Raw genomic sequence first — 14,224 nt, forward strand, 5'->3', positions numbered from 1 at the left:
CTGGTCTAGAGCTCCTGAACTCAAGTGATCCTCCTGCCTCGGCCTCCCAAAGTGTTAGGATTACAGGTGTGAGCCACTGTGCCCGGTCCCAATTTCTATTTTCTACAGGGTGATTTTTTTTTTTTTAACTTGACAGTCTAGTGTGATAGTTGGATGGTGTTGGTAGCAGTTTGGACCTGCTGTATTCTTTTTCTTCTTCCACTGCTTTACTTGACTCAAGTCTTGAATTAAGGAATGAAACTTTTCTGTGTTCTCTGTCTCTTAAGAAGAAAGAGCTATAGCTGTTCTCCTGATAGACCTTCTAAAGTCTGTGTAAAGATCTTTTTTCCCTCTGTGAATTATATTCCTCAGAATAAGCAGTATAGTTGTTTCTGAATTGGTAAACAACTTTTATTATTTTATTTTCTTGAGACAGGGTCTTGCTCTGTTGCCCAGGCTGGAGTATAGTGGTGCAATCACAGCTCACTGCAACCTCAACCTCCTGGGCTCAAGAGATCCTCGTGTCTCAGCCACCTGAGTAGCTAGGACTACAGATTTGAGTCACTATGCTCAGCTAATTGTTTTTTTGTAGAGACAAGGTTTCGCCAGGTTGCCCAGGCTAGTCTCATACTCCTGGGCTCAGTTGATCTGCCACCTTGGCCTCCCAAAGTGCTAGGATCACAGGCATGAGCCATCATGCCTGGCCAACAACTTTGATTATTTAAGGTATAATGTAACCTTGTTGGCTCTAGTCTCTGAACTGTGTTTCTCATTGTAATAATGATTCTAGCACTATTTTCCCCAAATATGTGCTTCTCCAAATGGTTTTCCTTCTTTTGCCTGAATTCACTACTATCTGATTGGCTTGCATAACCACTAAGTAAATTAGCATGCAGAGCAATAGGTCTAGAACTTGCCTATTGATTCCAAATTTCATTTCTAATCTTTCCTATATTGTAAGTAAACATTCTTTTTTTTTTTTTTTTTTTTTTTTTGAGACTGAGTTGCACTCTGTCACCAGGCTGGAGTGCAATGGTGCCATCTCGGCTCACTGCAACCTCCGCCTCCTGGGTTCAAGTGATTCTCCTGCCTCAGCTTCCCAAGTAGCTGGGATTACAGGTGTGTGCCAACATGCCCAGCTATTTTTTGTATTTTTAGTAGAGATGGGGTTTCACCATGTTGGCCAGGCTGCTCTCAAGCTCCCAGCCTCAGGTGATCCACCCACCTCGGCCTCCCAAAGTGCTGGGATTATAGGCGTGAGCCATCGCCCCCAGCCAGCACCTGTTTTTAGGTCATCATTTCTGTTGGGGTTTAAGAGTTGAATACCCATATCACATTGACCAGGAATTAATTGATTGTAGAGACGAAGTCTTGCTATGTTGCTCAGTGTGGTTTTGAACTCCTGGGTTCAAAACCCTCTCAAACTATTGGGATTACAGGCATGAGCTACCGTGCCCAGCCTTTGACCAGGAATTTAAAATCCACTTATTTTCATGATTTATATTGATTTCTGGCTGAAGCCAACACTCTTCACTGGATTTATTCAACTCACAGATTTCAATGTTTGGTTCCCATCTTGTCCACTTTAAGGTGCATTTTATGTGCAATAAAAGGTGTTCAGACATTTTAAAAAGATTCTCTATTTGAAATTTTTTTAGGGACTCCTGAGCCTCTGACATATGTCCCAATTACCCTATTCTCAGGTCAGGCTGAGGTGGGGCATGTGCCTGGATCCATCGAACAGTGATTGATTGGAAGCAACTGATGTTATTTCTCCAGTAGTGCTTGGAAGCTTATGGTTTTCCTCTGGCAACCAACACCATGTTCATTAATAAACCAGTAATAGGCTTCTTCTCTGTGGAGTTTCTCTTGCTGCCATCTTGGTTCATTTTCACGAATGATTATGGTATTTACAGTAGGCAGAATACTGTCCCCCCACCATGTCCACAACCTAATCCCCAGCACATGTGAATATGTTACTTTTTGTGGCAAATGGACTTTGCAGATGTAATTAAGTTAACAATTTTAAATGGAGAGATTATTTTGGTTTAGCCACATGGATCCAGTATAATCACAAAGATTCTTCTAGAGTGAAAGAGGGAAGCAGGAGAGCCAGGGAAGATGTAACAATGGAAGCAGGAGTCAGAGAACTGTGCCTGCTGGATTTGACAAGGAAGAGGGATGCAAGACCAGGAACGCAGGCAGCCTCTAGAAGCTGGAAAAAGCAAAGAAATGGATTCTCCCGTGAACCACCAGAAGGAACTCAGCTTTGCTTTTATTTTTAGCCCAATAAGACTCATTTCAGGTATCTTTCTCCTGGAACTGTGAGATAATAAAGTTAAGCCACTGAGTTCATGGTAATATGTTACAGCAGCATTAAGAAATGAACAGTCTTGTTCTTGTTATGAGCTTTGTTTACTATCTTAACCTGTGCTAGATGTAGATTGACTCATGCTGAAACACCCTGGCTCTCACATTGCTTTCCATGTGTTGGAAGAGGGTCTCCGCCTTCCATTGTTGGTGCTTTTGTGAAGTGCTGCTCACAGGAAGCAACAGGAGAGGGTTGAGTTCTTCAGACTGGGTTGCCTGTGAAGCCCGGGTGCTGCTGCTTCTCTCCCACCGCTGCTGCAAAGTTGAGGACATGCTCCAGGGTTTTTTTTTTGTTAGGAGTTCTCGACTGTCCAGGAATTAGGTAATCCTTTTCCTGAAGATAGGTGGCAGTGGGGTGTGGTAGTGGACTTCTCTTTAGCCAGAGGCAGAGACTGGGGGCGGGTGAAAGGGGTCCAGTGGGGTCGGGGCTGTCATCACTTTTCCTTTTTTTTTTCTTGTTTTTTGAGATTGAGTCTCTCTGTTGCTCAGGCTGGAGTGCAACAGTGTGATCTGGGCTCACTGCAATCTCCGCCTCCTGGGTTCAAGTGATTCTACTGCCTCAGCCTCTTGAGTAGCTGGGATTACAGGCGTGTGCCATGCGCCACCACGCCCGACTAATTTTTGTATTTTTAGGAGAGATGGGTTTTCACCATGTTGATCAGGCTGGTCTCGAACTCCTGACCTCAGGTGATCTACCCACCTCGGCCTCCCAAAATACTGGGATTACAGGCATGAGCCACCATGCTTGGCCTGTCATCACTTTTCAAGAGGCAGTTTCTCCTTCTAAATCCATCTCAATCTCCAGTGAGAGAGGAGCCAGGAGCCTGGCTGCCGTGCTGCGTGGTCCATCCAGGTGGAAGGGAAGGCTATGGAGGAGAGCCAGACTCCTGCTCTTTGTTTTGGTCAGTTCAGAAGTCACTTAACCAATAAGTCCTTTCAGGGAAGGAATTCACTCTACCACTACAGAATAGTTTTGCTTCACATGTTTTCTTGACACAGAAATTTGTAGAACCACAGCCTCTTTCTTTTCTTTTCTTTTTCTTTTTCTCTTTCTTTCTCTCTTTCTTTCCTTTCCTTTCCCTTTCTTTCTTTCTTTCTTTCTTTCTTTCTTTCTTTCTTTCTTTCTTTCTTTCTTTCTTTCTTTCTTTCTGTCTCTCTCTCTCTCTTTCTTTCTTTCTTTCTTTCTTTTTCTCTTTCTCTTTCTCTCTTTCTTTCTTTCTTGACAGAGTTTCACTCTTGTCACCCAGGCTGGAGTGCAATGGTGCGATCTCAACTCACTGCAACCTCCGCCTCCCAGGTTCAAGCGATTCTCCTTCTTCTGCCTCCTGAGTAGCTGGGACTACAGGTGCCCGCCACCACACCCAGCTAATTTTTGTATTTTTAATAGAGACAGGGTTTTGCCATGTTGGTCAGGCTGGTCTCGAACTCCTGACCTTAGGTGGTCCACCTGCCTCGGCTTCCCAGAGTGCTGGGATTACAGGCTTGAGCCACTGTGCCCAGCCGCATAATTATTTTAACTGGTTCATAATAATGAGCCAGAGTTGTGCTCTGTCGCCCAGGCTGGAGTCCAGTGGTGTGATCACAGCTCACTGCAGCCTCGACCTCCCAGGCTCAGGCGATCCTCTCATCTCAGCCTCCCTAGTAGCTGAGGCCACAGGCACGTGCCACAGTGCCCGGCTAATTTTTATATTTTATTGTAGAGATGGGGATCTCACTATGTTACCCAGACTGGTTTCAAACTCCTGGGCCTGTGATCCACCTTGCTTGGATCTCCCAAAGTGCTGGGATTACAGGCGTGAGCCAGTGTACCCGCAATCTTGCATCATTTTGATTAGGAATTAGTCCTCAGAAACCAGTCATGGCAGCATGGCAGAAGAGACAGTTGAACATGTCTTGCTTTATCCACTAGGCATACTTTTTTTTTTTTTTGAGACGGAGTCTCGCTCTGTCGCCAGAGCTGGAGTGCAGTGGCGCGATCTTGGCTAACTGCAACCTCCGTCTTCCGGGTTCAAGCGATTCTCCTGCCTCAGCCTCCGGAGTAGCTGGGACTACAGGCGCGCGCCACCACGCCCGGCTAATTTTTGTATCGTAGAGACGGGGTTTCACCATGTTGGCCAGGCTGGTTTCAATCTCTTGACCTCATGACCTGCCCGCCTCGGCCTCTCAAAGTGCTGGGATTACAGGCGTGAGCCACCTCGCCCTGCTCACTTTGCATACATTTGAGTTGGGATTCTTTCGCTGCAAAACCTGATCTTCACCTAGATTCAGGTTAATTTATTAACTATTACTAATGATTGTGAACAGTGCATTCTATTAAACTTATTTTTCAGGTATGCAGTTGTGTAAATTGGTTAGACTTACTACAGTGTTTAGATCTGGAACGAAAACGTAAGGCATTTTCCATGTAACTGCTTGGAACACGACAGTTACCTGCTACTATAAAAACGGTAGTTTTCTATTTATGGAAGAGTTTTTCTTAAACTTATCTAGAATTAAAAGTTAATTTAAAGAAAGTACTAATTATGACAAAAGCAGGGAGTCGTTAGCACTTGAAACCAGAGTTTGGTACTATGAGAAGGTTTTTAATTTTAAAAAGAAGGAAAAAAAGAAACACGGACGTCAGAAAACTGGTTCAGTAGGGATGGGTGCTAGAAGGCTACGGAACCGCCGAAGGCCCAGGAGAAACCCGGAACGTGTTAACCGCTCCAACTGGAGCCGGACGAAAAAACGGCCCCGCCTCCCGCGAGGGCGACGCAGTTCGCAGGCGCGTCGGCGCGCCTGTTCTGGGGCGCTTGGCTTCACCGCGCAGGCGCGGTCGCCGCTGTTGTTGTGGTCCCCATGGAGCTGCCGTAGCGGACCCAGCACAGCCAGGAGCGTCCGGGATGAGCTCAGCCGCGGCCGACCACTGGGCGTGGTTGCTGGTGCTCAGCTTCGTGTTTGGATGCAATGTTCTTAGGATCCTCCTCCCGTCCTTCTCATCCTTCGTAAGTGGCTGCCTGGCCTCCCAAGGGCCGGTGGGGATGCCGCCCCAGTCCCCCGGCGGGTCTGGCGTAGGTACAGGGGTCTCAACTGGGCGACTGAAGGCCGTAGTAGCGTCTTGGTTGGTCCGTAAGCTTTTTTGAGATAGTTGTTAGCGTCTAAAAGGTACGACGCTTTACCCCAAAATCAGACTTTCTGGGTTCTAGGGGGTTGGGAGAAACACCGGGCAACCCTGGACTCTTCTGGCTGTGGGTGGCGGCGGCGAACCTCACACTGGGAGTTCCTAGTGCCCCGCTGTCAGCCTCGTTTCCGTTAATCCTGGTTCCTAGAGGCATTCGAGCAGCCCTCGGCCAGGGTTTCCCAGAGGCCTGGCGGGCGAAGTCAGCTGTTCCAGGTCCCGGAGAGATGGATCCTCGCGTCCAGGAGCCCACATTCTTGGGGTGGGTAGGGTGGGAGACAGGTGTAGAGAGAATCTCAGTACAGCGTGATGCCTTCAGTATCCAAGGGAGCAACCAGGTTGGGGAACACTCTCTTTCTGCCAGGTAGTGAGTACATTACCTCTGTCTCACGGCTGCTGGGAGAGGCGAGTATTATCATCCCACCCTCCTTTACCTCCCGGAGGAGTCTGGCTCAAGAGAATTTAGTGGTGGCACTAAGTCATCCACCTAGTGACTGGAGGTGGAGATTTGATTGCCTTTTGGAGCAGGGATAGGGATTTGGTGGCAAATTGGACAGGGCGTGGTGGGGTGTGGCCATGGAAGGCGGGGGTACCTTGGGAACTGTCCCCGAGAATGAGCGCCCTCCGTATGCCCACAGCAGAAATGAGGAGCTGTTGGGCAAAGGCGGAGTCCTCAAAGATTGGGCGCATTCGTTTCAGCGTTGTCTTGGAAAACAGTTCTTGCTTTTCTCTCCTAAGATAAATTGGTAGTAGTGGAGGATATTTTATTCCACCAGTATTCATTGAGTGCCTGTTTTGTGCAAAACTCTATTCTTACTCTCTCAATTGTCCTACTGTCTGCATTGTCCTGAGATATAGGGAATTCTCTTTTAACCCCTGAGTCTCCTTCAGAATCTTTCCTGATGCTATCCAGTCTTTAAGATGATGTCTCAGGCATTGCATAAAAGACTCCTGATGAGCTGGCCCATGCTCATCTTCTTGTTTTTAATTGTAAAATACACATAATATGAAGTTTATCATCTTTATCATTTTTAGGTGTACAGTTCAGTGGCATTAAGTACATTCACATTTTTGTGCAACCATTATCCCAGAACTTTATTATTATTATTTTAAGACAGGGTCTGGCTCTGTGCAGTGGTGTAATCTCGACTCATTGCAACCTCTGCCTCCCAGGTTCAAGTGATCCTCCCACCTCAGCCTCCCAAGTAGCTGGGACCACAGGCATGCACCACCACGCCCAGGTATTTTTTTGTATTTTTAGTAGAGACAGAGCTTTGCCATGTTGGCCAGGCTGGTCTCAAACTCCTGACCTCAAGCCATCCACCCATCCTGGCCTCCCAAAGTGCTGGGATTACAGGTGTGAACCACTGCACGTGGCCCCGCTCCCAGAACATTTTCTTTTTTTTTTTTTTTGAGACAGAGTCTCACTCTGTTGCCTATGTAGGAGTGCAGTGGCCTGATCTTGGCTCACTGCAGCCTCCACCTTCCAGGTTCAAGCGATTCTCCTGCCTCAGCCTCCCAGGTAGCTGTGATTACCAGTACCTGCCACCATGCCCGGCTAATTTTTGTATTTTTAATAGAGACGGGGTCTCACTATGTTGCCCAGGTTGGTCTCAAACTCCTGACCTCAAGTGATCTGTGCTCCTTGGCCTCCCAAAGTGCTAGGATTACAGGCGTGTGCCACCACGCCTGGCCCCATCCCAGAACTTTTTTTATCTCCTCTAACCGAAACTCTCGCACTCATTAAACAACAACTTTCCATTCCTACCTCTCCCTGGCAATCACCATTGTACTTTCTGCCTCTGTGAATTTGACTACTCTTGGGACCTCATATAAGTGGAATCAGACAGTATTTTTCCTTTTGTGACTGGCTTCTTTTCACTCAGCATAATATCCTTAAGGTTCATCCATGGTGTATCATGAGTCAGGATTTCCTCCCCTTTTAAGGCTGAATAGTATCCCATTGTATGTATAGGCCACATTTTGTTTATTAGTTCATCTGTCTATGGACACTTGGGTTGTTTCTACCTTTTGACTATTGTAGATAATGCTAAAATGTTTACAAATATCTCTTTGAGTCTCTGCTTTCAGTTTTTCTGGACATATACCCAGCAGTGGAATTCCTGAATCTATGGTAATTCTATGTTGAATTTTTTTGAAAAACCACCATACTGTTTTCCATAGCAGCCACACCATTCGACATTCTCACCAGCAGTGCAGAAGGGTTCCAGTTGCTCCATATCCTTCAACATGTATTTTGTTTTCTTATTTATTTATTCTTTTTATTTTTTTATTTATTTTTATTTTTTGAGATGGAGTCTTGCTCCGTTGCCCAGGCTGGAGTGCAGTAGCGCAGTCTCGGCTCACTGCAAGCTCCGCCTCCCGGGTTCACACCATTCTCCTGCCTCAGCCTCCCGAGTAGCTGGGACTACAGGTGCCCACCACCACCACAACCGGCTAATTTTTTTGTATTTTTAGTAGAGACGAGGTTTCACCGAATTAGCCAGGATGGTCTCGATCTCCTGACCTTGTGATCTGCCCGCCTTGGCCTCCCAAAGTGCTGGGATTACAGGCTTGTGCCACCGCGCCCAGCCTATTTTTTTTTTTATTATTTATTTTATTTTGTTTATTTATTTTTTGAGACAGAGTCTTGCTCTTGTTGCCCAGGCTGGAGTGCAATGGCGCAATCTCAGCTCACTGCAACCTCTGCCCCCCGAGTTCAAGAGATTCTCCTGCCTCAGCTTCCCAAGTAGCTGGGATTACAGGTGCCCGCCACTATGCCCGGCTAATTTTTGTATTTTTAGTAGAGACGAGGTTTCACCATGTTGGCCAGGCTGGTCTCGAACTCCTGATCTCCGGTGATCTGCCCACCTTGGCCTCCCAAAGTGCTGGGATTACAGGTGTGAGCCACTGCACCCAGCTAATTTTTATTTTTTTGAGAGGGAGTCTCTCTCTGTCACCCAGGCTGGAGTGCAGTGGCTCAATCTTGGCTCACTGCAACCTCCGCCTCCCAGGTTCAAGCAATTCTTCTGTCTCAGCCTTCCAGGTAGCTGGGATTACAGGTTTGAGCCACTGCGCCCAGCTAATTTTTATTTTTTTGAGAGGGAGTCTCTCTCTGTCACCCAGGCTGGAGTGCAGTGGCTCAATCTTGGCTCACTGCAACCTCCGCCTCCCAGGTTCAAGCAATTCTTCTGTCTCAGCCTTCCAGGTAGCTGGGATTACAGGTGCATGCCACCATGCTGGGCTAATTTTTGTATTTTTAGTAGAGACGGGGTTTTGCCATGTTGGCGAGGCTGGTCTCGAACTCCTGACCTCAGGTGATCCACCTGCCTGGGCCTCCCAAAGTACTGGGATTACAGGCGTGAGCCACCACCCCCGGCCTTTTTTTTTTTTTGTAATACTAACCATTCTAATGGACGTAAGGTGGTGTCTCATTTTAGTTTTGATTTGCATTTCCCTAATAGTGATGTTGAGTATCTTTTCAGATGCTTATGGCCATCTGTTTATCTTTGGAGACATGTCTAGTCAAATCTTTTGCCCCCTTTTAAAATCCAGTTGTTTTTTGTTGTTGAGTTCCTTTTGTTGTTGTTATTATTATTATTATTATTATTTTTTGAGACAGAGTTTTGCTCTTTTGCCGAGGCTGGAGTGCAGTGGCGCTATCTCGGCTCACTGCAACCTCTGCCTCCTGGGTTCAAGCGATTCTCCTGCCTTAGCCTCCCGAGTAGCTGGGATTACATGCATGCACCACCACACCTAGCTAATTTTTGTATTTTTTTTAGTAGAAAGAGGGTTTCACCATGTTGGCCTGGCTGGTCTCGAACTCCTGACCTAAGGTGATCCACCTGCCTCAGCCTCCCAAAGTGCGGAGATTACAGCTGTGAGCCACCACACCTGGCCGACAATTTTTTTTTTTTTTTTTAACTTTTAAGTTCAGGGATACATGTGCGGGTTTGTTATATAGGTAAACTTGTGTCATGGGTGTTTGTTGTACAGATTATTTCGTCACCCAGTTATTAAGTCTAGTATTCATTAGTTATTTTTCCTGATTGTCTCCCTCCCACCCCCTATCCTCCACCCTCCAAAATAGAAAAATTTGTTTTTAGAGGCCGGGTCTTGCTCTGTGACTCAGGACCTGTGGCCACATCCTGTGCTGCCTCATACAACCTTATGGCCTCTCTAACCTCAACCCAGTTAGCTTTCCTAAACCCATTTCCCTATGATTGTTAACACTTGTTGTTAGCCAGGTTCAGAAGGATAACATAATTATTATCCCAGCAGAGTACACCCACCCTGTAATCGGTAAGAGAGATGTTTGGCCTGGTCACTGGGTTTGTGGTGAGAGTCTGTGAAAAGCTGTAAGGAACGCGCTGGTCTTCAGTAGGGTCAAATGCTGCTCCTTCACCATCGTCAGAGGCTACTTCATCACAGCCTCTCTGATTTGAGGATTCAAGTGGGAAAGACTCATGACAAGCAGCAGAAAGTCGAATTGGGAAAACAGTGCCCTCAGGGATGGGGCCGCGCTCAGGTACTTAGATTATAACCTCCGTTGGGATGTTTCTGAAGCTTTCGTCTTAGCAGAAGTTAGGGAGGCAGCACCCCGATCTCAGCACTCAGTCTAGGCCGCACTGGTCCCCGCACTGGTCTCCCCCCTCCCCCCGCGTGAGGCCTTAGGAGGTCTGAAGTATCAGAAGTCCTTGGGCCAGTTAAGCCTAGCAAGGTCCTGGGAGGCGATCTCAGCTGTCCGCTGCGGTGGGGGTGGGATGCCTGGTAAGGACACCAAGTCCGTGGTGTTGGCGTGGTTGGAATTTTCCTGGGATCGCTCCCTTCTCTTCAAGCTGGTCACGGGGACGCATGGTTGAGAGCGCCTAGTTCATTCAGTAGGTGGTCCAGGACTTTCTTCAGCTATAGAGGGGAACAAAGACGCCTTTGGTGAGCACCGGCTCTGCAGCTCTGCGGGTGCAGGGGAGGTGTACTGCGTAGGTGCCCCAGGACTGGCGGGGGCTGAGGGTCCATGCGAACGGCACTACTACGCAGGCGTCGCAGGACTGGCCCGGGCTCAAGGTCCGTGCAAACTGCATGCACTGCGCAGGTGCTCCAGGACTCGCGCGGGGTCAAAGTCCATGCAAGCCGCACGCACTGCACAGGTGCCCCAGGACTGGCACGGGCTCAGAGTCCACGCATACCGCACACACTGCGCAGGCGCTCCAGGACTGGCGCGGGCTCAGAGTCTATGCAAACCGCATACACTGTGCAGGCGCCCTAGGACTGGCGCTGGCTCAGGGTCCCTGCGAGCTGCACGCACTGCGCAGGCGCCCCAGAGCTGGTGTGGGCTGAGTGGCCACACGAGCCACATGCACTGCGCAGGCGCCAGGAGGCCCTTCCTCTCAATCCGAGCTTTGCAGATGAAGGACTCTGCGTGTGTTGCCTTCTGGGCTTACGGGCCGAGTGCCCTTTGAGATTCAACTTTTTCTAAATTATCCTTCACTTTCTGCTGTAAAGAGTGGCCACCTCCTTTTTCCTCTAGGGGACTGAAGCGAGAGGAGGATATTGCAGGGTTTGCCTCTGTGGTCATCTTCTTAGAGAGCACCCCCTCCGCCCCCACACCCTTTTCCTCAGAGCCGTTGCTTAGTGAGTCCCTGCCATGGACCAGGCTTGGGAATGGTCCCCAAGTATTAGTTTAGGAGGACGACTCTCTGCTTCACAGGACCTACCCCAGAATCCTGTGACTCAGAAGCGCGCTTGTGAAGTGCGCATGTGCGGGCAGGGCCTCCAGTGGGGCTCTCGTGGGGGCAGCAGCCAAGGACTGGGGCTGGTGGCCTGGAGAGCTGCCCGCTTCTCCGCCCTTGCCGGTAGGGTTCCTGGCCGAGAGTGGCATCTGGGGCTGTTCAGGGTCTGGAGCTTCCTGAGTTGGAAGACCCTGTCCTCTGTGTTCAGGGACTCAGGGTGACCTGAGTTGGTGGTTCCTGGGTTTGCCTGCTCTACTGCTGGCAGGGACTAGCACGGGGTGTGCACGTTGTCATGCCATCAATTAATTCAGAGATTCACTTTTGTTCTAAAAATTAATATTTGCATTATTACATTTAGATTCATATTAAATCTTACACTGCATGATTCTAGAACATTTTAACACTTATACGTGGGTCTTGGATTAACATTGATACATATTTGCAAATTTATACTTTAAAACTTTTTTTTTTTTAGAGACAGGGTCTCACTCTGTTGCCAAGGCTGTAGTGTGGTGGTGCCATCATAACTCACAGCAGCCTCAACCTTTCGGGCTCAAGTGATCCCTCCCTCCCCGCCTCAGCCTCCTGAGTAGCTGGGGCCACACGGACCACAGGCGTGCACCACCACACCTGACTAATTTTTAATTTTTTGGTAGAGATTGGGTCTTGCTATGTTGCCCCGCCTGGTCTCGAACTCCTGGGCTCAAACGATCTTCCCGCGTCAGTCTCCGAAAGTGCTGGGATTACTGCACTGCGCCTGGCTCAGACAGTTTTTATTGTGCTTATACATGTAATAGATGTAATTATTTTTTCAAGCACCAGTTGTTTTTGTTAACCTTACAAAGCTGCCTTCAGTTTTCCTGAAGTTCACCCTTCTGCCTTCACTCACCTCCCATTCCTGAGTTGTTTTGTGTATTCCCTATAATGCTAAATAATGTCTTGGAATCTCTTTTTCTTTTTAAAATATGGTTTTAAAAGTCAGATTTATTGAAGTGTAATTTGTATAAGGCGAAATTATCAAAAAGTCCTTAGCAGTGTCTGTAGATTTTCCTTGCTTTTGAAAGATAATTTTGTGATTCATCTAAGAGAATTTGGCCCATTCCTATTTCCTTCTCCAGAGTGGATCAGGCTGGAGTATAGCTCCTTCGGTTATAGTGCTGGGTAGTGGCCAGGGCAGAGGCACCACAAAGAGAGCTGGATTTGAACCCCCTACTCCCTGCGCAAAGGCTGCCAGAAGCTGCGCTGCAGTGAACACGCTGCGCATGAGCCCCTAGACCCCTCCACCCCCCCTACTCCCCACACTCCCCCCCCCCACTTTTGCCTCATCACGCAGGCGCTGGTAGGCGGCATCACTGGGCGGGTCAGAAACCACGCGCATGCGCAGACACCCTCAGGCGACTGGCGGGTCGCGGCTTCCAAGCTCTAAATGGAGAGTTGTCCCTACTGTGCGGCAGGCGGAGGAGACCTGTAAGCTGGAAGGGGGAGGGGGGGGGATCTGATTTATTGTGTGCCAGGCACACTTTAGATACACTATAACATTTCGTCTTTATTAATCTATTTTTAAAATTTCGAAACAAACACAAATGTGCAGAAAAGTTATATACAGTCAATACCGATAACTGATTTTGTTTCCTGAACCATTTGGAAGTTGTCAACCCAAACCCCCTCATTCCGAGATACTTTGGTATTCAAAAGAATCTTGGGGGCCGGGCACAGTGGCTCACGCCTTTAATCCCAGCACTTTGGGAGGCCGAGGCTGGCGGATCGCTTGAGCTCAGGAGTTCACTGGCAACATAGTGAAACCGTGTGTCTACTAAAACTAAAAAAAAATTAGTCGAGTGTGGTGGTGCAGGCCTGTAGTCCCAGATGCTCAGGAGGCTCAGGTGGGAGTATCGCTTGAGCCCAGGAAGTCGAGGTTGCAGTGAGCCGAGATCTAATGCAGGCGTCAAGTACGTTACCACGATCTGATCCTCAGACCCCATGCAGGTTCCCCACGTTTCGCAGTAATGTCCTTAACAGGGAAAGGACCCAGTTCGGAATCATGCATTGCATTTCCCGGCCTCTAGCCTCCTGTCTGGAGGAGTTTCCCAGTCTTCCCTTGACTTTCATGGCTGTCATTTGTGGGTGTCAGAGGCCAGTGATTTCGCAGAAGGGACGCCTACTGGCATGTCTGATACTTGGTAGGGATTTCTGAGAGGCAGTGCTGTGTTCTCATTGTGTCTCATCCGCTGGTGTGGGACTGGGATTTGGGGATGTTCGCTGATCCCTTGGGGTAGGTGCCAGAGGCGCCACTGAGGGATCTGGTCTTGGGGCGCCCGCGCAGTCCTTGGACTAGGCCTTCCCGGCAGATCTGCGGGCGCCACCTGGCGGTCACTGCCGACTCCTCCGTTGCGCTCCAGTCACCTCTCCCATCCCGGTGCCGTGGCCGGGCCGTTCCCTGGAGAGTGGACGGCTGGGGCTGGTGCAGGGAACAGGGGCCTGCGGGGGCTGCGCAGGCGGGCCTCCAGGTCATGCGGGGCCCCTCTGCTCACAGGGACCAGCCAGGCCAGCCTGGGGAGCGTGCTTCTTTGTTTATGTCTGTATTTCTCTGCCTATCTGTGGAAACCACAGATCTCCAATTGAAGCCAACACCACAAGATTCATTCTGCTTCTCTCCGAGACGCCTGCCTGCCTGCCTTCCTTCCTTCCTTCCTCCCTCCCTTCCTCCCTTCTTCCCTTCCTTCCTTCACCAGGTTATGAAAGTGGCTAATTTTTCATATTTTTTGTAGAGACAGGGTTTCACCATGTTGCCAAGGCTGGTCTTGAACTCCTGGGCTCAAGCGATTCACCTGCCTTGGCCTCCCAAAGTGCTGGGATTATTGGCATGAGACACCGAACCTGGCCTTTTTTCTTTTGTCCCCCTTTTTTTTTTGAGACAAGGTCTCACCCTGTCGCCCAGGCTGGAGTCCCATGGCATGATCTCAGCTCACTGTAGCCTTGAACTCCTGTA

General features: G+C 48.8%; 2 protein-coding genes across 12 annotated transcripts in view, besides 2 other annotated features; both read left to right on the forward strand.

Annotated features, from left to right (window-relative positions):
• Positions 5,173–14,224, forward strand: part of GET1-SH3BGR (GET1-SH3BGR readthrough) — a 135,179-nt gene continuing 126,127 nt past the window's right edge. For all 3 annotated transcript variants that reach the window (NR_146618.2, NM_001317744.2, NM_001350300.2), the window contains exon 1: positions 5,173–5,333. Coding sequence is in view for 2 of the 3 variants with exons in the window: in NM_001317744.2 (NP_001304673.1) it covers positions 5,232–5,333 (102 nt within the window). In the remaining variant the exon portion in view is untranslated. The remainder of the gene's footprint in view (positions 5,334–14,224) is intronic.
• The window catches only part of GET1 (guided entry of tail-anchored proteins factor 1), a 48,203-nt gene continuing 39,151 nt past the window's right edge, over positions 5,173–14,224 (forward strand). For 3 of the 9 annotated variants that reach the window (NR_146615.2, NR_146614.2, NM_004627.6), the window contains exon 1: positions 5,173–5,333. Coding sequence is in view for 2 of the 9 variants with exons in the window: in NM_004627.6 (NP_004618.2) it covers positions 5,232–5,333 (102 nt within the window). In the remaining 7 variants the exon portion in view is untranslated. Of the gene's footprint in view, positions 5,769–12,627; positions 12,703–14,224 lie in introns of those variants that run through there. The other 6 variants (NR_146616.2, NM_001146218.3, NM_001350296.2 and 3 more) reach the window with 5 other exon arrangements.
• Positions 10,938–10,987: an enhancer, noted in NCBI's record as "active region_18468". NCBI's record gives its function as "activates an Ori minimal core promoter by ATAC-STARR-seq in GM12878 lymphoblastoid cells {active_cell/tissue: GM12878}" and the evidence as "EXISTENCE:reporter gene assay evidence [ECO:0000049][PMID:35858748]".
• Positions 12,963–13,132: an enhancer, noted in NCBI's record as "active region_18469". NCBI's record gives its function as "activates an Ori minimal core promoter by ATAC-STARR-seq in GM12878 lymphoblastoid cells {active_cell/tissue: GM12878}" and the evidence as "EXISTENCE:reporter gene assay evidence [ECO:0000049][PMID:35858748]".

Source organism: Homo sapiens, chromosome 21 (assembly GCF_000001405.40).
Source record: "Homo sapiens chromosome 21, GRCh38.p14 Primary Assembly".
NCBI lineage: Eukaryota > Metazoa > Chordata > Mammalia > Primates > Hominidae > Homo > Homo sapiens.